Source organism: Homo sapiens, chromosome 17 (genome assembly GCF_000001405.40).
Source record: "Homo sapiens chromosome 17, GRCh38.p14 Primary Assembly".
Lineage (NCBI taxonomy): Eukaryota > Metazoa > Chordata > Mammalia > Primates > Hominidae > Homo > Homo sapiens.
In genome coordinates, this window is record NC_000017.11 from 63,201,726 (window position 1) to 63,229,340 (window position 27,615).

Sequence of the window (27,615 nt, forward strand, 5' to 3'; positions counted from 1 at the left end):
CACTCTGATAAAGGCAATGCTGATTGGGACATTATGTAATTTATTATCTCCGGTAGACTCTAGGTAAACATTTCATCAGAGCCAGACGTGGACTGTTGGAGGGCTCATTCATGTTCAGGAGATAGGCCATCATCATTTATATGTATTGTTATGATTCAACACCTCTTGCTATGAAAATCATAGGATATTTCTAGCTCAGGAAATCTTTCATCATATTCAAAATTTTGAGTGATCTTTCTTGAGTAATATTTCCTATTAATGCATTTTGACAACTAGAAAATATTAAAGTATTGTGATTACTCTTTGGGACACTGTTCTAATGCTCTTCTTATAGTTAGGTATGGAGATAAGAAGAGTAGGGGAAGAACATAGTTCTGGAGCTTCTCAGTTTTTATGGCTATCAAGTTGTATAATGATTCAGACATTGAACATTATTCTATACCATTGTCATTTACAAAATGCTAAAAAAATTGCATTTCCTTTAATAATGGAGTTACCAATAGACTCCTTTTGACAAATAAGTCTGTGTACATTTTCTAGTCAGAAATAAGAATTTAAGAATAGTATAAAACTATATATTTATACTCTGTGAGAAGATAAAATGGAAATTGGGCTTCTGTCCAAAACATAAATGGCATTTCTGGGTATTCCTTTTCTACCTAACAACCAGATGATGACAGTGTCATAGCCTCCAGCAGCTTTATGTAGAATAAAGAAGAGGAAAGAACATAGGTGGTAATAAGAATAATTTTAATTAAAAGTTATTTATGGCTAGGTTTCTCTTCAGACTCCCAAAATTATAGTATATGCCAACCCCAATTAAGTATTTAGGAGCAGAGCATAAATGGGGAATGAATGTGTTCCATCATCTATGATATTGCACATGTGAATGTATGGGCTTATATTTATACATAGGTAGACAAAAGTGATTATGTTTTTTCCTCTATCGCTCTGGGCCCCAGGTGCAGAGAGCTGAATTAATAATACTCCTCAGTATATACAGATTGGTCTGTACAAAGCTCCTCTCAGTTTATTACTTTTCCCTTTATCCTCAATCCCATTTCATTGCAGCCATACTATTATATTTATATAAGTCCTTGAATATTAATGTGTCCTTGAATATTATATGTTGTTTTTTGTGTGTGTTTGTGATTTTAATTTATAAAGTGGCATGTTAATACAGATCTTATATTCTGCTTTTTAAAATCTATATGAACACCAAATTTCTTGCTTCTGATGATGTAAATATTCTTCACATTTTACCTGCGAACACTTAGGTTGCTTCCAACTCCTCTACCATTTGTACAAACCTTTTCTGGAGTTTATACCTAGGACTGGAATTACCGAGTCATGGGGCATATGATTATTTAACTTCATGAAATACTCCCAGATTATTATCCAGAATAGTTACAGTAATTCACATTCTCATCAGCAGTATATAAAGCTTCTTTTCCCTTTTCTCGTTCTTTGTTGACACTAGCTAGCCCAGTTCTAAAATCTGAAAACTCTTAAAACCGTAAGTTTTTTAAAATATAAATTTACATCAAATTCATTTGGCTGTAAAATCTTACCTGAGCTAAGATGAGGCTACTTACAGTCTTTATCCTACTAAATATGAATATCTATACATTTTATTGTAGAAATGTTAATATACTCGGTTACAGGATACTATTCCCTGTGCCATATACAGTATCTGTGCCTTTTTACTTTTTTAAAATATGAGACATTCTGTATTTTGAAACACATCTTCAGAGTTTCATATATGCGATTATAGACCTGTGTCATCTGACTTTCTGATTTTAGTAAATCTGATGGTTATAAAATTGTCTCATTTTAATATGCATTTCTTTGATTAGTGTAGAGGTTCTGCAGCTCTTCATATGCTCACTGCCTATTGTATACTTGTTAAGGGAGTCATTCAAATGGAAATAGGTGAAGTTTTGGGAAAAGAATAATCTAAAGAAGGCAAATCCAAAGAGAAGAAAACAGAGGACTGAGCACAAAATCTTAGAGCACATTCAAAGAGCAGGGAATTGGAAGTGGGAGAAGAATGAGCCAGTGGACACCAAAAAAAAAGTAGTCAGATAAATAGGAGAAAACTTAGGGCAGTGCAATGCCACCAAAGCCAAGGGAGACACATGTTCCAAGGAAGGTGTGTGGAAAGGTTGCTTAACAAATGACGAAAGTTGAGAAGACAAAGGAAAATGAGGATGATTAAAGAATAAAAGTAAATATTTTTCCCACATTTGGCTTCCTTCTGTAGATATAAAAAATACATATTTATTTGTTTAGAAGTTGTGGCAAATGTTAATGCCGTGACTGCAAAGTGTATCCCTAACTTACATAAATGCACATCGGTGTGTGGATTCATTCATTTTAAATAAATACTGAGTAAATAAAAATATTTTTACAGCAAAGTTGCAGGATACAAAATCAACACCAAAACAAGTTGTATTTGTATATCCTAAAGATGAAAAATCCAAAAAGAAAAATAAGGAAACAGTTTCATTACAGTGGCATCACAAAGAATAAAATAGGAATAAATTTAACCAAGGAGGCAAAAAAAAAAAAATTCTACATTGAAAACTGCAAAACATTGCAGAAGAAATTTTAAGACTTAAATGGAAAGATATACTGTCTTCATGGATTGGAAGACTTGCTATTGTTAAGATAACAATATTTATCAAAGCCATCTACAGATTCAAATCAATCTCTATCACAATCCCAACAGTAGTCTTTGCAGAAATAGAAACATCCAGCTGGGAATAGTGGCGTGAACTTGTAGTCCCAGCTCCTTGGGAGGCTGAGGCAGGAGGATCATTTGAGCCAGGAGTTCAAGTCCAGCCTGGAAAACCTAGCGACACTCTGTTTCTAAAAAAAAAAGAAAGAAAGAAAGACTCATCCTAAAGAAGAAAGAAAGAAAGACTCATCCTAAAAGTCATATGGAATCTTAAAGGACTCTAAATAGCCAAAACAGTCTTGAAAAAGAGCAAAATTGGACGACTCACATTTCCTGATTTCAAAACTTATTACAAAGCTACAGTAATCAAAGCAGTATAAAGAGACCAGAAATAGGGGGCCAGGTGCAGTGGCTCATGCCTGTAATCCCAGCACTTTGAGAAGCCAAGGCAGACGGATCAGTTGAGGTCAGGAGTTTGAGACCAGCCTGGCCAACATGGTGAAACCCCATCTCCACTAGAAATACAAAAAGTAGCCAGGCGTGGTAGCAGGAGCCTGTAATTCCAGCTACTGGGGAGGCTGAGGCAGGAGAATCACTTGAACCTGGGAGGCAGAGGTTGCAGTGAGCTGAGATCAAGCCACTGCACTCTAGCCTGGGCAACTGAGCAAGACCCTGTCTCAAAAATAAATAAATAAATGAAAATAAAGAGACCAGAAATAAACTCTTGCATATATGGTCAAATGGTTTTTGACAAGCGTCCTAAGACCATGTGGCATGGACAGTCTTTTCAACAATTAGCGTTAGGAAAATTGAATATTGACATGCAAAAGAATGAAGTTGGTCATTTACCATCTACCATATACAAAAATTAAAATGGATTAAAGACCTAAACATAGTAGTTAAAAACTGTAAAACTGCTCAAAATTTAACCAAGGAGGCAAAAAAAAAAAAAAAAAAAAAAAAAAAACCTCATACACCGAAAACTACAAAACATTGCAGAAGACATTTTTAAGACTTAAATAGAAAGACATCCTGTATTCATGGATTGGATATAGGAGAGGAACAGAGAACATAGGAGGAAATCTTTGGACATTGCATTTGGTATTGATTCCTTGGATATGAACCAAAAGCACAGGCAACAGAAGAAAATAATACATTGGACTTGACATAAATTTAAAACTTTTGTGCATCAAATGATACTATCAAGAGAGCAAAAAGGCCGGGCACTGTGGCTCACACCTGTAACTTTGGGACAGGTTACACAACTTTGGGAAGCTGAGGCAGGTGGATCACCTGAGCTCAGGAGTTCAAGACCAGCCTGGCCAACATAGCGAGACCCCCATCTCTACTAAAGATATAAAAATTAGGCATGGTGGCACAAGCCTGTAATCCCACCTACTCAGGAGGCAGGAGAATCACTTGAAGCCGGGAAGCAGAGGTGGCAGTGAGCTGAGATCACACCACTGCACTCCAACCTGAGTGACAGAGCAAGACTTCATCTCAAAAAGAAAAAAAAGCAAAAAGACAACCCACAGATATTGGAAATAATGTATCTGATAAGGGATTAATATCCAAAATATATAAAGAACCCCTACAACTCAACAACAACAAACCATTTCAAAAATGGGAAAAAGACTTACATAGACGTTTCTCCAGAGAAGATATACAAATGGCCAATAGACACATGAAAAGATATTCAACATTACTAGTCATTAGGGAAACGCAAACCAAAACCACAATAAAACACTACTTTATACCCATTAGGATGACAATTATAAAAAGAAAGTGGAACATAACAAGTGTTGGCAAGGACGTGGAGAAATTGGAACTCTCATACATTGCTGCTGGGAATGTAAATGATGCAGCTGCTGTGGAAAAGAGTATGGCAGTTCTCCAAAAAGTTCAACATAGAATTGCCATATGATCCGGCAATTTCTCTTCTAAGTATATACCTGAAAGTATTGAAAGGAAGGATTTGGACAGATACTTGTATGCTGATGTTCATAGTGGCATTTTCACAACGGCCAAAAAGTGGAAATAATACAAATGAATATGGACAGATGACTGGACAAACAAAATATGATATATACATGCAATGAAATATTATTCACCTTAAAAAGAAATGAAATTCTGATGTATGCTACAACATGGATGAACTTTGAAAATGTTATGCTGAGTTAAGCCAGACACAAAAGGATTGTATGATATATATGGTTCCACTCATATAAATGGAATACCAGAGTAGCTAAATCATAGAGACAAAAAGTAGAATAGAGAGTACTGAGTGGGGCTGCAGCGGCGTGGGGAGTTGGTGGGATGTGGAAATAGGAAGTTATTGTTTAATGGATACAGAATTTCAGTTGGGGATGATGAAAAGTTCTAGAGATGGATAATGTTGATGTTTGTACAACATTGTGAATATACTTAGTGCCCCTGAATTATACACTTAAAAATGGCTAAAATAATTTTATGTCGTGTATATTTTACCACAGTAAAACATTTTTAAAAGAATATTTATTAATATGTATATGGTATAGACAATAAGAATATAGCAAATACCTGACTACCTCTCTTACCCTATAACAAAAATGACCTGTCTTATATGCTAAAGCCTTCTTCTGTATCTCTTCCCATTTCTCTATTCATACCCTACCCTGAGAGGTCATCTGAATTTTGTGATTATCATTCCAGTACTTTCTTTCATGATTTTGCCACATTTGTATCCCTAAATAATTTATTATTTAGATCTCATGTTTTCAATTTCATATACCTGAAAGCATATTTATGCAAATTTCTTTTTTTTTCCTTTTTTTTTTTTTTTTTTTTTTGAGACAGAGTCTCGCACTTTCGCCCAGGCTGGAGTGCGGTTGCGCAGTCTCGGCTCACTGCAAGCTCCACCTCCCGGGTTCATGCCATTCTCCTGCCTCAGCCTCCCGAGTAGCTGGGACTACAGGCACCCGCCACCACGCTTGGCTAATTTTTTGTATTTTTAGTAGAGATGGGGTTTCACTGTGTTAGCCAGGATAGTCTTGATCTCCTGACCTCGTGATCCGCCCGCCTCAGCCTCCCAAAGTGCTGGGATTACAGGCATGAGCCACCACGCTCAGCCACAAATTTCTTTTGTGCTTACTGTTATGTACCTCAGATACATTCATGTTGTTGCATTTTAGTCTGCTTGTTTTTATTGCCATATCATATTCTACTGTATGAATATAGCACATTTGTTTATTCATTCTGTTGATGAAAAGTTGAGTTGTTTCCAGATTTTTGCTCTTGCAAATAGTGCTGCTGTGATTATTCTTGGGCTTGTGTCGTTAGTCATATGTATGATTCGGAATGTTAGAAGTGAAATTGTCAGATTATTAGAAATGTGTCTCTTTCAACTTTATAAAATAATTTCATCTTTTATGAAACTATACCAGTTTATACTGCCACTAGCAATATACTATAAAATGTTCCATTTGCTATAGATCTTTCCCATGTTTGATATTGTCAGGCTTCATTTTGCCAATCTGGATGATATGAAAGTTATCTAATTGTGATATTAATTTGTGTTTTCTTGATTACTGATGAGGTTAAACAATCTTTTCACATGTTTATTAGCCAATTAGGTTTCCTCTTTTGTGAAATACCTGTTCAAGTTTTTGCTCATTTCCTAATGTGATTTTTCTTTTCCTTACAGATTTGAAGGAAATCTTTATTTTTTAATAGGAAGCCTTAATTTTAATGTAGTCAAGTTTTTTTGTTTTTTCCTTTGTATTTTATATTTTTGTGAAACTTTGCTTTGTCATTTAAGTCCTTAAAATCACCTAGAATTGGTACAAGAGTACAAATTTATGTTTTTCTATACAAATAACTAGTTCCATTACCATGTTCGCATGCAGTGTATTGCTGCCAAAAGCATAAATGTCTAGGTCTTTTTCTGAGCTTTTATTCTAGGTCTTTTTCTGAGCTTTTATTCAATCCATTGGTAAATCAGTCTCTCCTTATAACAATATTGTACTGTCTTAATTACAACCGCTATAAGTCTTGATACTTGGTAAACAAAGTCCCCTAACTTGATCATCATCTTGAGGATTCTCGGCTATTCTGTACCCTTTCTTCTCCCAAATAAACTTAAGAATCAATTTGCCAAATTCATGAAGAACCCCTTTTGAGATTTTTATTAGAATTGCATTGAAACCATAGATCAATGAGTGATGAATTTACAACTGTTTCCAATATTAAATCTTCTAATCCAGGAATATATTTTTTATCTCTTTCATTTAGAGCTTCTTTAGTATCTTTCAATAAAATGTTCTAATTTTTCAATAGGGTCTGGTATATCCTTTCAAAGATCTTTTTTCCTAGATGCTTTATATTTTTATGCGTTTGTCAGTGTTATGTCTTTTTCATTATACTTCTTACCTATTGCATAGAAATATGTAGAGATTTGTGTATTGTATTCAGCACTGCAGCAAAGTCTCTTATTAAATAATTTATAGTTTTTTTGTGGTTTTCTACATATACAACCATATTGTTTGCAAATAATGACTTTTTATGTTTTCCTTACCTATCCTTATATCATGTATTATTTATTGATTGATTGATTTCTTCCTAATTTTTTTTTTCAATTTTTTTGAGACAGAGTCTCTCTGTTTCCCAGGCTGGAGTGCAGTGTTGCAATCTTAGCTCACTGCAACCTCCACCTCAAACTCCTGCTGAAGTGATCCTCCCTCTTCAGTCTCCCAAGCATCTGGGACTACAGGCGCATGCCACCACACCCAGCTAATTTTTGTATTTTTTTTTGTAGAGACAGGATTTTAACATATTGCCGAGGCTGGTCTTGAACTCCTGGGCTCAAGCAGTCCGCCCGCCTCAGCCTCCAAAAGTGCTGGGATTACAGGCATGAGCCACTGCACCCGGCCACACTTTTTTTTTTTCCTTGTTGTACCAGCTAATTCTCTGGCACATTGAATTATAGTGATGGAAGCAGTCATCTTTATCTTGTAACTGATTTTTAAAGGAATCCTTTTTGTTTGTTTGTTTGTTTTGTTTGTTTGTTTTGAGATGGAGTCTCACAGTGTAGCCTGGGCTGGAGTGCAGTGGTGCAATCTCAGTTTGCTGCAACCTCCACCTCCCGAGTTCAAGTGATTCTCCTGCCTCAGCCTCCCGAGTGGCTGGGATTACAGGCACGCACCACCATGCCTGTCTAATTTTTTGTTTTTTTAGTAGAGACAGGGTTTCCCTATGTTGGCCAGGCTGGTCTCGAACTCCTGACCTCGTGATCCACCTGCCTTGGCCTCCCAAAGTGCTGGGATTACAGGCGTGAGCCACTGCTCTCGGGCTAAAGGAATGCTTTCAGTATTTCGCTATTAAGTATTATGTTCCTGTAGATGTTTGTAGACATCATTATCAGGTTTTTAAAATGTTTATTTCCAGTTTGTTATGTATTTTTAACCATAAACGAATATTAATTTTTTTCAAATACTTTTACAAATATCTTTTGAGGTGATGAAATAGTTTTTCTCCTTTATTCTCTCAATGGTGTAAACTACATTAATTTTTCAAATGTTAACCTGATTTTGCATTCCTAGAACCACGTGTAGTTATGATACATTTTTAAATAAATCAACTTATTTTCTAACACTTTGTTTAGGATTTTTGAATCTATATCCATGAGTGAGATGTGCTTGAAATTCTCCTCTCTGGTTCTGCAATTGTCAGGTTTTGCTATCAAGGATTATGTTAGCCTTATAAAATAGGTTGAGCTCATCCAAATATAAATACTCCCCAAGGCTGACTCTCAGCCTTTCTATTGTCATCTTTCTCAGTCTGCTTTCCCTGCTGGGATGACTCTCTCTGTTCCTTGACTCCTATTTCGTATTTCGAGCTCTGATTTTTGGTTCCACAATTTCTCTGTTTATTACATTCTTTTCATCATGGACACATGTCCAGGAATAATCACACAAACCAAATCTTACTTTCTTCATGAAGCAGACTCTGATTATCCCTCCCTTCTCTGGATTTCCGCACTATCTACCTCCCTCCTCTACACTTATGAGACTCATTGCCAATAACCAGTATAGTTACTTATAGTTATATATTTATTTTCTTTATGTAAGCTTCTTAATGTCAAGATTTATGTCTCCTACTTTTTATTTACTCTCGGGATTTAGCATAATATCTAAATTGTGGTTTATGTAAGAAGTCTTTATAGGGATATAATTATTAAATAACTAAACATTTTGAGTAAATAACATAGAGCAACACAATGTGATAAAGAGTAACCTTTTTTTCTATCCTCTGAAATAGTTTGTGGAAGATTGGAATTATCTGTTTCTTGAATATTTAGTCAGATTTGCTCTTAAAATAATCAGGGCACTGTCTTCATGCAATAAATGCACATTTCAATTTTAACTACTGTTTCTATGTATTATGTTTAATACTATAGAACATTTTAGGTTTTCTTTTTCTTTTTGAATCAGTTTCCTTGTAGTTTTTAATCTTTTTAAAATTTTTTAGCATAAAATTATCCAAAATATCCTTTTATAATGGCATCCCTACCTACCCAGGAACCTAAGACAGATACCTGAGAGGAGCCCTTGCCTCCTCCCTCTCTTTATATTTCTCATCCCTGTATTTTATTTTCATCCTTCATAGCATTGCTTCAATGGTCCTCATTATCTCAGACTTAGATTAATACAGATCTTTTTGTCTACTTTTCATCTTGTTCTTTCTGTTGTTTTTCACTCAGCAACCAAAGTAAATTAATTGAAAATCAATTACTCATTTGACTCCCGGTTACCTAAAAGATAAAGTGAACTTCTTGAAAACAAAGTCTGACCATATCACTCTTTTGGCTCTCATTTGCCTGTAAGACTTATAGGTAAATGAATTTACATTTTGTAGATCGATAGGCTTCCTTTGACCTAGGCCCTCATGATCTGGTGATGGCCAGTTTCCCCAGCCTTCTCTCCCACTTCTTTTTGCCTTGGATTTATTGTTCTAGCGGCAATAGTTTTTTTTTCATTTCTGTGATTTTGTTCATAATGATCATTCTTACTATGATATCCTCTCTCCTCCCAACATTAGAGGAGATAATAGATTATCTCCTCTAATCTTTTATCGTAAATCCAGCTGAGAAGTGTTCTGTCACCACCACTACTACTCCTCCCACCTTTCCTCAGCTCTGCACTTCCAACTGCTATTCAGGACATATTATTACTCCACTTTCCCAGTAATACCTGTGCCTATCTGTATTATTAAATTTAACACATGGTATTATGCATAGTTTTTGAGTCTACTTTTCCCCCATTGACTGTTAATTTCTTGTTAGCAGAAACTGCCATGTTCATTTTTTATCTGTAGCATTTAGTCCAGTGACTGGCACATGGTAGCATAGTAGATGCTCAATAAATGTATAAAAAGAAGGAAAGCTTAATGATGGGGGAGGAGGGAATGAAAGGCTCACCTGGCATTTTGTTGTAGTTGTTTTGTTTTCTTTTATTATACTTTAAGTTCTAGGGTACATGTGCACAACATGCAGGTCTGTTACATAGGTATACATGTGCCGTGTTGGTTTGCTGCACCCATTAACTCGTCATCTACGTTAGGTATTTCTCCTAATGCTATCCCTCCTCCAGCCCCCCACCCCACAACAGGCCCCGGTGTGTGATGTTCCCCACCCTGTGTCCAAGTGTTCTCATTGTTCAGTTCCCACCTATGAGTGAGAACATGCAGTGTTTGGTTTTCTGTCCTTGTGATAGTTTGCTGAGAACACCTGGCATTTTTTAAATTCATTTTTTGGCAGTGCTTAGAGTGACTGTTGGGTACAAGATGAAACTTTATTGGATTTTGAATGAGATTAGAATTCTCCATTGACTAACTTTGTTCTCTTAAGTTCTCTATGATTAATTTTGGTAAAACGACTTTCATAATTCCTGCTGAGCTTCTTCCTGTGTTCTTTTGATATTATTAGATTATCTATAATTGGATATCATCTATATTGCCATACATAAAAATAGCTATAGAAATATGTTCATTCAAGCAGAAGGAATGGTGCTTGAAGAAATACCTAGGTGGAAAGACAAGTGAGCCATGTAATGACAGATATGTTTGGTTTGTGCAAATAATACAACAAAAATGCAAAATAACATCAGTGCTTACATTAGGAAAATGGAATGTCCTCCTGTTCTTTGCTTTTATTCTGTTTATTTATTATTTTATAGAAACAGGGTCTCACTATATTGCCCAGGCTGGTCTTTGAACTCCTGGCCTCAAACGATACTCCCACTTCAGCCTCTCAAAGTGCTGGGATTATAGGCATGAGCCACCGTGCCCGACCCTCTTTGCTTTTAAAAGCCCTTCTTACTATGAAATGTAGCACTTAAATAAGGTCCATAGACCAAATGAATAATTGTGTCTTTGTGCCACAAATTAACTCAAAACTTTCTACCACCTATCAGGACTACTTTCATCATTTTTATTGATAGATCTCATGTTTTCAACAAATCTGTCAGCATTACTCTATTCATTATTCAATAGTTGCTCATTTTTAATTTATGAGACATATATCTGCTAACACTTATGTTCAAAATAAGGTAACTAATATTGTCACCCTTGATATAATTCTAGCTAAGTTTACAGAGGCTTGATGTTGTAGTTAACTAGTCACCAATAAATATGTGATTATTTATAAAGTCTATGAAATATTGAAAATAGTGAAACCCATTACTACCCTCTCAGACCTTTACAAGTGTAATGTTTCAGTGTTTGGAGCCTACCGTATGTGCTCATGGTCTGTCAGAGAAAAGGGCTATGTTTCTGGCATATATACCAGGGTTAGAATACACAGAGACAAGTACATCTTAGCCAACTGTGACATGGTACCTAAAGACAGAAGCATCTGCTAGGACACACAAAGAAAACACCACAAAAGGCAAGGAATTAAATAACAGACACTTTACACTTAGACAAGTCCTCTGGGAAGCAGGAGCTTGCATTCTCTAGCTTTCGGTGTACAACCCGTGTAGCCATGTAACTCCAAGCTTCCAACTAAGAATTACAGAGCCAGCTGACCAAATGAAATTATATTTCAGTCAGATTTTAGTGAATGAAAAAGACTTAAGTATATTTTAATAAGACAACTTCCAGAAATCAGGATAAGTATACATTTATTTAAACAATACAGACACATAATATAAATATATACAACTATATACTATCAATGAATACATTTAGAAATAATTATAAAACATGCTGTGGAATTCATACAAATCTCATTGGGGAAGGTGCAACATTGTATTTGGTGGCAAAAAGTTTAAGAACCATTGGGCTATTACTGAAAGACTGAATATGTGAAATGAAGTTTTCATTAAAATGAATAGTTTTGGCAACATGCTGAAATAATATGATAACTTAATAATGACTTGAACATTTAAATTAGCTTTAAGAATATCTAGCCCCTGGTTCCCAACATTTTCAGCACCAGGACTGCCTTAGCATATATTTCTTAGAAAACAGAGCCTGAGACAAAAGTTTATATGTTAAGACCTTTTTAACAGAGTACAAGCCAGGGAAGCAAGCGTGAAGGAAAGGGGGAGTGAGACAGGAAAGGAAAGAGAAAAAATGTAAGGGAAGATACTACAGAGCTGGCAGAGGTGAGAGACCACATGTCTCTGAACCATGGAAAGGAGACTCCAAAGAGGATTTTTCTGCTAACTCCCTTCCTGTATTGGTCACAGCCTGGTGAGTATTATCTCCCTTATTCTCCCTATTGCACAAAACCAGTAGCCCTACTATATCTTATGTCTCAGTGACAATAGAGAAGTCCAGGGACAGAGGAGACAGACTGTATAGCATGCACATGAGGTAAGGTATTGATTGACTTGTGCCCAGGATCAACACAAATGACTCGGAGCAGCCCTTGTAGCCAATCCCTCAGTCTGAAGCCAGAGGCATTAGTAACACAGACCTAACTCCAACCCATGAGAATTGTTCAAATCGTTGTGAAGGCCACTTTGGCCAAACAACTGGCAGGTGACTATATCTAGGATTCTGCTTTAGTCCATTCAAATGGCTATAACAAATTATTTTAGCTTGGGTAATTTACAAGCAATTGACATTTATTACTCACAGTTCTGGAGGCTGGGAAGTCCAAGATCAAGGCACCAGCAGATTTGATATCTGGTGAGGGCTCATCCCTTGTAGCTGAAGCCTTTGCTGTGGCTTCACATGGCTGAAGAGGCAGACATGCTTCCTCAGGCCTGTTTTATACAGGTACTAATCCCATTTGTGAGGACCTAATCAACCCCCAAAGGCCAGAACCTTTAATACTATCACATTGGAGATTGTAAGTTTCAACACATGAATTTGCTGGGGGACACAAACATTCAGAGAATAGCAGATGCCAAACCCAGTACAGTCCAACCCTTGTACCACATTGATCCAGTAGTATCCTCTGAGTATCTGGTCTCACCCTGGGAAGATGATGCAATGATGCTCTCAATTCTTTCCTGAGAGGGTAGGTTCTAAATCCAGTCCTTCAAGTTGGTAGTCAGTTGTAACCTCCCAAAAAGCCTTAGAAAGGGTTAGTAAACAAAGATTTAGGTCCTTGCTGCTCCATGTAGTCCTAGAGACCATAATGCATGCTCATTATTTCCCTCTACCCATTTCAGAACAAAAAATGTCAAAATAGATTTAAGAACAGGAATGATCTACAATTGAAAGTCGTTTCATAATGATGAATGGATCAGTTTATCAAGAGGAAATAACCTAAATGTTTATGCAACTAACAGAACTTCAAAATGAGAGAAATCCATAATCAGATTTCAGCATTCATCTCTCAGTAGCTGATAGAACAAGTAGAGAACCAATTAACATATAGAGGATCTAAACCATTCCATCAACCAACTTGACCTAATCGTCTTTTATTGAACAATGTGATAATAAAAAATATGTCTATTTGGTCTTTGTCCCTGGTTCCTGACACAGGGTTCCTAAATACCTTTGAATTTTCCGAGTCATAGGAGCATCTTGGCAGGCCCCTAGATAGCTTCAGGATAGGGAATGGTCACCAGAAAGACCAGGGAATGACTACGGTTACACTTTTAGCCCCACTCCAGACTTCAGGGAGGGGAGAGAGGCTAGAGATTGAGTTAATCAACAGTGACCAATTATTTAATCATGCCTAAGTAGTGAAACCTCCATTTTAAAAACACCCTAAATGATGGGGTACAGAGAGCCTCTGGATTAATGAACACACCAAGGTACTGGAAAAGGCATGCCAGGAAAAGGGATGGAGGTGCCACACTTTTATTTTATTTTATTTTGTTTTGTTTTGTTTTGTTTTATTTTTATTTTATTATTATTTTTTTTTTCTGAGACGGAGTCTCACTCTGTTGCCCAGGCTGGAGTTCAGTGGTGTGGTATCAGCTCACTGCAAGCTCCACCTCCTGGGTTCACGCCATTCTCCTGCCTCAGCCTCCCGAGTAGCTGGGACTACAGGCGTCCGCCACCACGCCCAGCTAATTTTTTGTATTTTGTTAGTAGAGATGGGGTTTCACCGTGTTAGCCAGGATGGTCTCAATCTCCTGACCTCATGATCTGCCTGCCTTGGCCTCCCAAAGTGCTGGGATTATGGGCATGAGCCACCGCTCCTGGCCTATTTTATTTTATTTTGAGACACGGTCTTGCTCTGTTGCCCAAGCTGGAGTGCAATGGTGCGATCTCGGCTCACTGCAGCCTCCACCTGCTGGGTTTAAGTGATTCTCATGCCTCAGCCTCTGGAGTAGCTGGGATCACAGGCACGTGCCATAACACCCAGCTAATTTTTGTATTTTTAGTAGAGACGGGGTTTCACCATGTTGGCCAGGCTGGTCTGGAACTCCTGACCTCAAGTGATCCACCCATCTCGGCCTCCCAAAGTGCTGGGATTACAGGCCTGAGCCACCATGCCCGGCCAGCTCCACACACTTTCATACCTGCCCTCTGCCCCTCTTCCATTTGGTTATTCCTGAGTTGTACCCTTTATAATAAAACAGTAATAGTAAGTAAAGTGCATTCCTGAGTCCTGTGAACCATTCCAGCAAATTATTGAACTCGAGGAGGTTGTGTGAATCCCCACTCTATAGCCAATTGGTCAGAAATACAGATGACAACCTGGGACTTGCAGCTGGCATGCAAAGTGAGGACAGCCTTGTGGAAGTAAGCCCTTAACCTGTGGAGTCTGTGCTAACTCTGGGTAGTTAGTGTTAGAATTCATATGAATCGTAGGGCACCAGTTGGTGTCCAGATAATTGGCAAATTGATTGTTGGGTGGCAGCAAAAACTCACACATATGGTATCAGAAGTGTTGTGAGTAAAAATATTTCAGTGGTCCACCCAAAAACAGCAGAGTACAGATTCCTTTTTAGAAGGTTCACCAAGACATACCATATTCTGGTCTGTAAGACAAGTCTCAATAAACTTAAGTGGACTCAAACTAAACAATGTTCTCTGACCACAGCATGATTAAACTAGAAATCAGTAATAGAAAAATATCAGGAAATTTCACAAATCTTTGGAAATTAAATAACACATTTCTAAATAATGCTCCAGTCAAAAGAAGGTGGAAATTTAACAATATTTTAAATTAAATATCAGTGAAAACAAAACATATCAAAATTTGTGGAATATACCTAAAGAAGAGCTTAGGAGGAAATTTATAGCATTAAGAGCTTTTTTTAGAAAGCAAGTTTTTAAATCAATGAACTGAATTTCCAGTTAAACTAGAAAAATAAGAAGTTCAACCGAATGTAAGCAGAAGGTAGGAAATCATACAGAGCAGAGATCAGTTAAATAGAAAACAGTGGAGAAAAACAATGAATTAAAAGCTGGTGCTTTGAGAAAATCAGTAAAATCAATAAACCTCTACCTGTACTGACTAGGACAAAAAAAGAAGATACAAATTACCGCTATTAAGGGTGAGGTAGGGACATTATTACAGGCCCCACTGACATTAAAAGAATACTAAAGGAATGTCACAAACAATTTTATTTTTTAAATTTATTTTTCTTTTTCTCTACACTGGGAAGAAACTTAAATGAACAATTTTAATGTCAGTAAATTTGACAATTTAGATTAAATGGACAAGTTCATTGAAATAAATAAACTATCAGAGCTTACTTGATAAGAAAGAACCTGAATAGCTGTATTGAATTTGTTGTTTAAAACTTTGCCATAAGGAAAACTTTTGGTCCAGATTCATTGACAGGTAAATTCAACCAAACATTTAAAGAAGAGTGATACCATTTCTACACAGACTCCTCCAGGAAGTTAAAGAGGAACAACTAGGAGGCCAATATTGTTACCCTAAGAACAAACCAGACAAAGACATGACATGAACAGGAGAGTACAGACCAATTATCTCTCATGAATGCAGAGTTCTTAACAAAATTCTAACAAACTGAATCTAATAATATATAAAAAGGATAATGTCTCATTACTAATGGGTTTTATACCAGGAATTGAGGTTGTTTCTACATTCACGAATCAATCAGTGTAGTTAATCATTAATAACAGACTAAAAAAGAAAAACTGTATGATCATCTGATAAATACAAAAAAAAAACAGCATTGGTTAGGCACGGTGGCTCACGCCGTAATACCAGCACTTTGGGAGGTCGAGGTAGGAGGATCACTTGAGGCCAGAAGTTCGAGAGTTGCCTGGGCAACATAGTGAGATCCTGTCTCTACAAAAGTTTTTAGAAATTAGCCAGGTGTGATGGTACACACTTGTAGTCTTAGTTACCCAGGAGGCTTGATCCCAGGAGTTCGAGGCTGCAGTGAGCTGTGATCATGCCACTGCACTCCAGCCTGGGTAACACAGCAAGACCCCATAGAGAGGAGGGAAAAAAAAAATCGACAAAAAGTTAAAAGTAGGAATGGATGAAAAATTTTTAAATTTGATAAAGGGTAACTGAAAAACCTACATCTAATTCATACTTAATGGTAAAAACCTGGATGCTTTCCCTTGAAAATCATGAACAAGACAGATTTCTACACCTATCACTTTTATTCAATATTATGTTGGCAGTCTCAATCAGTGAAATAAGATGAATAAAGTAAGTAAATAAAAGGCATCTAGATTAGAAAGGAAAAAGTAGAACTGTCACTATTTCCAGACATGATACTCTGTGTATAAAGTTTAAGAAATCTACCAAAAATAACTATTAGAAACTAGTGAGTTAGCTGGACACGGTGGCTCACCCCTGTAATCCCAGTACTTTGGGAGGCTGAGGCAGGTGGATAGCCTGAAGTCAGGAGTTCGAGACCAGCCTGGCCAACATGGCGAAACCTCCTTTCTACTAAAAATGCAAAAATTAGCTGGGTATGGTGGTAGACACCTGTAATGCTAGCTAAGGGAGGCTGAGACAGGAGAATCGCTAGAACCCAGGAGACAGAGGTTTCAGTGAGCTGAGATCACGCCACTTCACTGCAGCCTGGGCAACAAGAGCGAGACTCCATCTCAAAAAAGAAAAAAAAATAGTAAGTTTAGCAAAGTCTCAAGGTGTAGGATCAATATGCAAAAAAGTATTGTATTTCTCTGTACCAGCAACAAAAAAAATGGAAATTGAAATAAAAGGGTCATTTACAAAGCACTAAATTGTGGAATAATTAGAGATAAATTAAAAAATACATGACCTGCACAGTGAAAAGTGCAAAACATGCTGAGCAAAATTAACAAAGATATGTGGGAAAATATACCATGTTCAAAGATCACAGTACTCCATACTGTTAAGATGTCAATTCTTTCTAAATTGATCTATTCCAGGGGTTGGTAAACCATGGCAGGCAGGCCAAATCTGGCTACCCACGTGTTTGTCTCCTGAAAGCTAAGAATGATTTCTATATTTTTAAATGGTCACATTTTAAATTATTATATAAATAATAATATGTAACAAATTATTGTAACATCCAGATATGTAACATTTGTAACATCCAGATATGTAACAATCTGGATGTTGCCTACTGGCCCACAAAGCCCAAAACATTTACTATATAGCTCCCTAAGAAAAAGTTTTTCAATTCCTCGTCTATACATTCAGTGCAATCCCAAACAAAATCCCTCCACCTCCCAGGTTCAAACAGTTCTCCTGTCTCAGCCTCCCGAGTAGCTGGGACTACAGGCACATGCCACCATGCCCGGCTAATTTTTTGTATTTTTAGTAGAGACGGGGTTTCCCCATATTGGTCGGTTGTTCTTGAACTCCTGACCTTAGGTGATCCACCCACCTCAGCCTCCCAAAGTGCTGGGATTACAGGCATGAGCCATCACACCCAGCCCACCATGGTTTTTAGTATAAATTAACAAGCTAGCACTGTATACCTATGTAACAAACCTGCATGTTCTGCACATATATCCATTTTTTTAGAAGAAATAAAAGCAAAAATTAAAAAAAAAGAAATTAACGACCTGATATTATCATTTGTATGGAGTTAGATTAGCCAGAACAAATTTTGAAAAAGAACAAAGTTGGAGGATTTATACTACCTGATTTGAGGTTTACTATAAAACTGCAGAATTCAAAACAGTGTGTTACTGCTGTAAAGGTGGACAATGGAACCACATAAAGAGTCCAAAAATAGGCTGAGCACAGTGGCTCACACCTGTAGTCCCAACACTGTGGGAGGTCGAGGTGGGTGGATCACCGGAGGTCAGGCATTCGAGACCAGCCTGGCCAACATGGTGAAACCTCTCCTCTACTAAAAATACAAAAATTAGTGGGGCATGGTGTCACGTGCCTGTAATCCCAGCTACTCAGGAGGCTGAGGCAGGAGAATCGCTTGAACCCAGGAGGCAGAGGTTGCAGGGAGCCAAGATCGTGCCATTGCACTCCAACCTGGGTGACAGAGCAAGACTCCGTCTCATAAAAAAAAAAAAAGTCCAAAAATAGACCCACACATACACTAGCAACTCATTTTTGACAAAGGAATCAAGGCATTTTAGTGAGAAAAGGCTATTTTTTTCAGCAAATATTAATATTACAGAATAGGCTGGGCACGGTGGCTCATGTCTGTAATCTCAGCACTTTGGGAGGCTGAGGTGGGCAGATCACTTGAGGTCAGGAGTTCGAGACCAGCCTGGCCAGCATGGTGAAACCCCGTCTCTACTAAAAATACAAAAAAATTAGCCAGGTGTGGTAGCGCGTGTCTCTAGTCCCAGCTACCTGGGAGGCTGTGGCAGGCGAATTGCTTCAACCCGTGAGGCGGAGGTTGCAGTGAGCTGAGATCGCGCCACTGCACTCCAGCCTGGGCAACAGAGCAAGAATCAGTCTCAAAAAAAAAAAAAAAAATATATATATATATATATGTATATATATATGTGTATATACGTGTATGTGTATATATACATGTATGTGTATATATGTATATATACGTGTATATGTATATATACGTGTATATGTATATATGTGTGTATATACGTATATACGTATATATGTACGTATACATCAGAATATTTGCATATCCATACACAAAAGAAAAAACAGTTTGTCTTTACCCTACCCCACATACAAAAATTCAACGTGGATCATAGACTTAAACCTAAGAGCTAAAATTATAAAACTGCAAGAAGAAATAATAGATTTAACATAAGCCTAAGTAACCTTGTGTTAGGCAAAAATTTTTAAAATTGAACACAATCATTAACCCTAAAAGAAAAATAACTGATGTTTGACTGCCAAAATTTAAAATATTTACTCCTCAAAAGTTATTAAGAAAATGAAAAAGGCCTGGCACGGTGGCTCAAGCCTGTAATCTTGGCACTTTGGGAGGCCGAGGCAGGCAGGAGGTCAGGAGTTCAAGACCAGCCTGGCCAACATGGCAAAACCCTGTCTCTACTAAAAAAAATAAAAAAATTAGCCAGGCGTGGTGGTGGTGGTGGTGTGTGCCTGTAATCCCAGCTACTTGGGAGGCTGAGACTGGAGAATTGCTTGAACCTGGGAGGCAGAGGTTGCAGTGAGCCAAGATCATGCCACTGCACTCTAGCCTGGGCAACAGAGTGAGACTCCATCTCAAAAAAAAAAAAAAAAAAGAAAGAAAATGAAAAGGGAAATTATAGATGAAGAGAAAATTTTTCAAACACTTATCTCATAAAAGAGTTCTATTCAGAATAAGTGAAGAATCCTCACAGCTTAATATAAAGGCATACAACTTGAATTTCAATAAAATGAGCAAGCGATTTGAACAGATACTTCACAGATGAAAGCATATGAATAACAAGAGATAGATGTTCAATATCAATAATCATTAGGAAAATGTAAATTAAAACCATAATTGGATATCACTGTATACCTAGTACAATGTCTAAAACTCAATACCAAAGATTGGCAAAAATGTGGGAGCAGTTGGAATTTTCAGACACTGCTGGTGTGAGTGTAAAATGGTACAGCCACTTTGAAAACTCCTTAGGCATTCTTTTATAAAGTTCAACAAAAATCTGCCATTTGACCTAGCCATGCTATTCCTAGGTATGTACAAGAGAGCAAGAAAATCATATGTCTACGCAAAGACCAGTAGTTGAATATTCAGAGCAGCTTTATTCATGATGGCTGAGGTCTTAGTCCATTTGGGCTGATAAAACAAAATTCCATAAACTGGATAGCTTATAAACAATAGAAATATATTTCTCACAGTTCTGAAGAATGGGAAGTCCTGGATCAAGGCAGATTCAGTGTCTGGTGAAGGCCAACTTCCTGTTTCGTAGACAGCATCATCCTCACATGATGGAAAGGGTGAGGAAGCTTTTTTGGTACACTTATATTGGTGGATCAACCCCACTCAGGACCAAATCACTTCCCAAAGGCCCTACCTCCTAATACCATCACCTTGGGGGTTAGAATTTCAATGTATGAGTTTTAGGAGACACAAGCATACAGACCATAGCAGCTGAAAACTTGAAACAACTCAGATGCCATCAAACTAGCAAATGTATAAATACTGTGATATATCAATTTTTAAAAAATGGAATGAACTACTAATACAACATCATGGATAAATGTTAAAAGCATTTTGCTACATAAAACAAGCTTGAAACAAAAGACTGCATACTGTATGATTCTATTTGTGTGAAATTCTACAAAAGGCAAAACTATAATGATAGCAAATCAGCAGTTGCCAAGGTGTAGAGTGGTGGGTAAAGGTGTAGGATTGACCGCAAAATGTTAGGAGGCAACTGTATGGGATGATGGAAAGTTGATTACAGCATAACTGGATACATTTGTCAAAACTGCATTTTTTTACTTAAAGTATGAATCTTATTGTATGTAAATTATACCTTAATAAAACTGATTAAACACACACACACACACACACACACACACATACACACTAGCATGACACAGCTATTTTACTCCTAGGCATAGGCCCAAATGAATTGAAAACAGGTAGTCAAACAGATACTACATGAATGTTCCCAGCAGCAGTATTCACAGTAGCCAAAAGGTGGCAACAATCCAAATGCCCACCCACAGATGAATGGATAAACACATGTGGCATATACACAATGGAAACTTACTCAGTGATGAAAAGGTATGACACACTGATACATGCTACTGCAACATTGGCGAATCTCAGAAACATGCTAAGTGAAAGAAGCCAGACACAAAAGGCCAAATATTATGTATTCCCTTCTTAGTAGATATTTAGAATATGTAAATTTATAGAGACAAAATGCAGACTAGTGGTTGATTTGAGGGGGTGGGCATGATAGTAACTGCTTAATGGGTATGAAGTTTTCTTTTGGAGCTGAATAGAGGTGATGGTTGCACAACATTGGGAATGTACTAGATGCCATTGAATTTGTTCACTTTGATGCAGGTGCACCCCAAAATTAGAGCTTAGCCCAAGAAGGTTCTTGGCTTCTCTCAAGAAAGAGTTCAAGAGTGAGCCGACAGTGAAAGAAAGCAGGTTTATTAGAGCAATAGTATATAGCAAAATGGTTGCTCCATAGAGAGAGCAGGGCTATCCCATAGGCAGAGGAGCCCAGAGGAGCAGAGTACAGCAAAGTGGCTGCTCCACAGGCAGAGCAGCCCGGAGGAGCACAGCAGCAGTGTATGGCAACAGTAGCAGTCCGAAGCAGGAGCAACAGCAGACACAGCTGCAGTGTACATTGCTGGTTAGCTATATCTGTACCCACTCTTAATTATTTTATATATAGTGTATATATATATATATATTTAAGGGACAGAGTGTTAAGACTTTTCTAGAAAAGGGGCAAGGAGTTCCTGAAACCATAGAAGGTAACTTTCAGGTCATTGCCCTAGTGCGTTGCCATGGCATTTGTAAACTGTCATGGCGGCAGTGGAGTGTCTTTAATAACGAGCAGTGAGGGCAAGCAGAGGTCATCTTCGTCACCCTCTTCTGATTTGGGCCATTTTCTTTACTGCATCCTGTGTTTAATCATCAGGTTCATTACAGGTGGGTGCTGATCTCCTACCTCAACTTTAAAGTGGGTAGCTTTATGTTATGTGTATTTTACCTCAAGCACACATACATAGTTAACCTAACACATAGCCACAATTTTCTTTGGGTGAGAATCAGAGGAATATTTTACTACAGTGGCATTGCAAAGCCCTTGCCCAAAGAGCTCCAACTTCCTTTTCAATCCTAGACCAGTGAATTCTGGTCTGTGAACTAATTTAGATCTGAAACCTAAGGGACTGCCATTTTCCACTATGCCTGATGTTAGCCTCTTTTTAAAAAATAAAGTAAGCAGCATCCTAATCTGTTCAACCATCTTGCCACTAGAAACATTGTCATCTGTTAACCATCACCACTGATGCTTTTAGTCAAAGCACCCTGGTTGCTCTCCCAGACTTGCTGATTTTTTTTTTTTTTTTTTTGAGACGGGGTCTCCCTGTGTCGCCCAGGCTGGGGTGCAGTGGTGTGATCTTGGCTCACTGCAGCCTCCGCCTCCCAGATTCAAGCAGTTCTTCCACCTCCGTCTCCCAAGTAGCTGGAATTACAGGGGCGCACCACCACGCCCAGCTAATTTTTGCATTTTTAGGAGAGACGAGGTTTCACCGTGTTGGCCACGGTGGTCTCAAACTCCTGACTTCAGGTGATCCACCCAAAGTGCTGGGATTACAGGCGTGAGCCACCACACCCGTCCCAGCCTTGCTGATCTTTACAATAATATATCCTCCTTGCATCTGAGAAATACGTGCTGCCAACTGGCCTCTGTATCCTCACTGATATTAGAGACCCCAGTTCTATGATAACATCTCCCTATTAACTGCACTTAGAGAGGATGGTCACCTTCAGGCTTTTCAAAGATGTCAGTGTTCCCCACCACTGCCACCAGTACATTTCTCATTGCCTTAGTGAAAGGAGTGTCCATTAGGCCTCCAGGGAGTGGAGAGAGGTCATGGTATTATTGGTCTTATGTGGTAGTCCCTTCTAATCTCCACCACCATGAATCTTCTGACTCATTTGTCAGTACTATGCCCAGGAAGTTCTAGCTGATCATCTCAGGCTGATTTCCTATAGGCCATCATCATATCCAGGTTTGAAGGAACCATCCTCATATAGATCTCCTTTGTCTCCTATATCTTTTTTTCTGCCTATTTTATTCCATTTTAATTAGGATTTAAACATGATCAAGTCTTTTTGCATCTTCTATCTCCCTCTACCCTTCACAGACCCATTGAAAGAATTGTTCTCACCTTTTCTTAATTTCATCTCCCTCTCACTTTGGAACCATTGACATTCCAGTTTCTGCCTATACTACTCACCCAAGGTATTATCTAGATCACCTCCATATAGATCGAGCCAATAATGATTGTTAGTTCTTATTACAGTTAATGTTTTCTGACGCATGTTTACTTTTTGAAACTCTCTCTTGCCTGACTTGCCCACAGTCTCCTTGTTTTCCTCTTCTTTCTGGTTGTTCTTTCTTAGACTCCTTTGCAGGCTCTTCTTGCTTTGCCTAATTGTGTTTCAACGGGTGTCATTTTAGGCCTTCCTCTCCCCTCACTCTACAAACTTCTTAAGAGACAATAGTCAGCTCCTAAGGTTAATAACTTTGACATCTGACTCTCTATTCTCCTGAGCTTCAGTTTAATTATCTCACTGTCTACTGTACATCTTTATTTGAATGCCCCATAGACACTTCAAATTCTACATATTCCTGAGCTAAATTTATGTTCCTCTTAATCCTGCTTCTCTTCCTGTATTCCCTAAGTAGATGGTACCACCATCTAGCCATTTGCCCCAGCCAGAAACCAGGATATTATTCATGACTGCATTTTTACCTCATTCTTTACATCTAATCAAATTATCAAGTCCATTCATTATTTTTCATCTCCTTTGTCATTTCTTAATACAGGTCAATATTTCTAACTCGGATTGCTATAAAACCTAACTTTTCTGTTTGCCTTCAATCAGGTAATCCTCTGACACAGGAGATCATGAATTTGGATTGTAAAAAAAGATTACGTTTTCATTTTTTGATTTCTAATTGAAATTTAGAACTTCTATTTTGAATGTAGGTAACAAACCACAGAAGCACTAGAAGTTTTTGTGACTTTGTCACCAATAAATACCTCAGATATTTTCATGTTACTTGTAGGTATCATAAAATATCACACTTGTCACCACCTTGAAAATATAGTAGACTTGCACTAGATCTTATCACTTAATGTTAATGAAACTCACAAATTACTGTGTCACAAATCTATTTTTTATTATTTTGATTACTGTTTTTCAAAATAATTGATTTCTCCTGTTTTTGCATTTTATTTCATGCATTTAGAAATATTATGGAAAGAGTCTTTTTAGGCATCACCAGACACCATAGGGGGTCTGTGGCAACACCTTACTGTAATGTATTCTACTCACTAGAACCAAAGTAATCTTTCCAAAATGTAAGTTTAATTATGTCCCTCAAAAGCCTTTAATCATGTGCCTCGGTTGCCCTTAGGAGAAACCGGGATAAAATCTAATCCCTTTAATATGGCTTACGAGTTCTAGTCTGATCTGGACTCTGTCTCCTCTCTGTCATTCTAGCCAGTGGTGTGCTGTGGCCAGCTAGCACCTGCAAGATTCAGTTTTTAAGATTTTGGTAATTTTGTGAGCCAGTTAAGTCATAGGTAGCTTGAGTGTACATTTATACCACGGAGATCAGCAAACACTGCAAATCAGAATTTTGTTTTGTTTTTGTCTTTTATTTTTTAATTTAATTTTTTAAAAATTTCCAGGATACACATGCAGGATGTGCAGGTTTTTTACGTAGGGAAATGTGTGGTAGCAATTTGCTCCACCTATCAACCCGTCACCTAGGTATTAAGCCCTGCATGCATTAGCTATTTATCCTGATTCTCTTCCTCCCCTCACCTTCCCTGACAGGCCCCAGTGGTGGTGTTCCCCTCCTTGTGTCCATATGTTCTCATTGTTCCACTCCCACTTATAAGTGAGAACATGCAATGTTTGGTTTTCTATTCCTGTGTTAGTTTGCTTAGGATAATGGCTTTGAGCTGCATCCATGTCCCTACAAATGACATGATGTCATTCCTTTTTATGGCTGCATAGTATTCCATGGTGTATATGTACCACATTTTCTTTATCTAGTCTATCATTTATGGGTGTTTGGGTTTATTCCATATCTTTGCTATTGTGAATAGTGCTGCAATGAACATATGTGTGTATGTATCTTTATAATATAATAATTTATATTCCTTTGGGTATATACCCAGTAATAGGATTGCTGGGCCAAATAGTATTTCCAGTTCTAGGTCTTTGAGGAATTGCCACACTGTCTTCCACAATGGTTGAACTAATTTACATTCCCACCAATAGTGTAAAAGTATTCCTGTTTCTGCACAGCCTTGCCAGTGTCTGTTGTTTCTTGACTTTTTAATAATCACCATTCAGACTGGCATGAGATGGTATCTCATTGTGGTTTTGATTTGCATTTCTCTAATGATCAATGATGTTGAGCTTTTTTCATACGTTGGCTGCATAAATGTCTTCTTTTGAGAAGTGTCTGTTTATGTCCTTTGCCCAGTTTTTAATAGGATTGTTTGTTTTTGTTTTATTTTTTGTAAATTTGCTTAAGTTCCTTGTAGATTCTGGACATTAGATCTTTTTTCAGATGGATAGATTACAAAAACTTTCTCCCATTCTATAGGTTGTCAGTTCACTCTGATGATAGTTTCTTTCGCTGTGCAAAAGCTCTTTAGTTTAATTAGATGCCATTTGTTAATTTTGGCTTTTATTGCAATTGCTTTTGATGTTTTCATCATGAAATCTTTACCCATGCCTATGTCTTGAATGGTATTGCCTAGATTTTATTCTAGGGTTTTTATTGTTTTGGGTTTTACATTTAAGTCTTTAATTCATCTTGTTAATTTTTGTATAAGGTATAAGGAAGGGGTCCAGTTTTAGTTTTCTGCATATGGCTAGCCAATTCTCCCAGCACCATTTATTTATTTATTTTTCATTTATTTATTTTTTTTGAGACAGAGTTTTGTTCTGTCACCCAGGCCGGAGTGCAGTGCTGCAATCTCGGCTCACGGCAACCTCCGCCTCCTGGATTCAAGCGATGCTCCTGCCTCAGCCTTCCAGGTAGCTGGGATTACAAGTGTGCACCACCATGCCCAGCTAATTTTTGTATTTTTAGTAGAGACGGGTTTCACTGTGTTGGCCAGGCTGGTCTCAAACTCCTGACCTCAAGTGATCCTCCTGCCTCAGCCTCCCAAAGTGCTAGGATTACAGGTGTGAGCCACCATGCCCAGCCCCAGCACCATTTATTAAGTAGGAAAGCCTTTCCCCATTACTTGTTTTTGTTAGGTTTGTCAAAAATCAGATGATTGTAGATGTGTGGTCTTCATTTGTGAGATCTCTATTCTGTTCCATGGTCTATGTGTCTGTTTTTGTACTAGTACCATGCTGTTTTGGTTACTGTAGCCGTCTACTATAGTTTGAAGTCAGGTAGCATGATGCCTCCAGCTTTGTTCCTTTTGCTTAGGATTGCCTTGGCTATACGGGCTCTTTGTTGGTTCCATATGAATTTTAAAGTAGTTTTTTCTAATTCTTTGAAGAATGTCAGTGATAGTTTAATGGGAATGGGTTTGAATCTATAAATTACTTTGGGCAGTATGGCTATTTTCACAATGTTGATTCTTCCTATCCATGAGCATGGAATGTTTTTCCATTTGTTTGTGTCTTCTCTCATTTCCTTGAGCAGTGGTTTGTAGTTCTCCTTGAAGAGGTCCTTCACTCCTCTTGTTAGCGGTGTTCCTAGGTATTTTATTCTCTTTGTAGCAATTTTGAATGGGAGTTTATTCATGATTTGGCTCTCTGCTTGTCTGTTGTTAGTGTGTAGGACTGCTTGTGATTTTTGCACATTGATTTTATATCCTGAGACCTTGCTGAAGTTGTTTATCAGCTTAAGAAGCTTTGGGGCTGAGATAATGGGATTTTCTAGATATAGGATCATGTCATTTGCACACAGACAGTTTGACTTCCTCTCTTCCTATTTGAATATGCTTTATTTCTTTCTCTTGCCTGATTGCCCTGGCCAGAGCTTCCAATACTATGTTGAATAGGAGTAGTGAGAGAGGGCATCCTTGTCTTGTGCCGGTTTTCAAGGAAAATGCTTCCAGCTCTTCCCCATTCATTATGATATTGGCCATGGGTTTGCATAAATGGTTCTTACTATTTTGAGATATGTTCCATCAATAGCTAGTTTATCGAGAGTTTTCTACATGAAGGGATGTTGAATTTTATGGAAGGCCTTTTCTACGTCTATTGAAATGATCATGTGGTTTTTGTCTTTCCTTCTCTTTGTGTGATGAATTACGTTTATGGATTTGTGTATGTTGAACCAGCCTTGCACCCCAGGGATGAAGCCAACTTGATCGTAGCTAAGTTTTTTGATGTGCTGCTGGATTGGTTTGCCAGTATTTTTTGAGG

The 27,615-nt window shown here is 37.7% G+C and overlaps 1 protein-coding gene across 21 annotated transcripts in view; it reads left to right on the forward strand.

Moving 5' to 3' along the window:
* The window catches only part of TANC2 (tetratricopeptide repeat, ankyrin repeat and coiled-coil containing 2), a 461,469-nt gene that overhangs the window by 235,491 nt on the left and 198,363 nt on the right, over positions 1-27,615 (forward strand). The window lies entirely within an intron of this gene.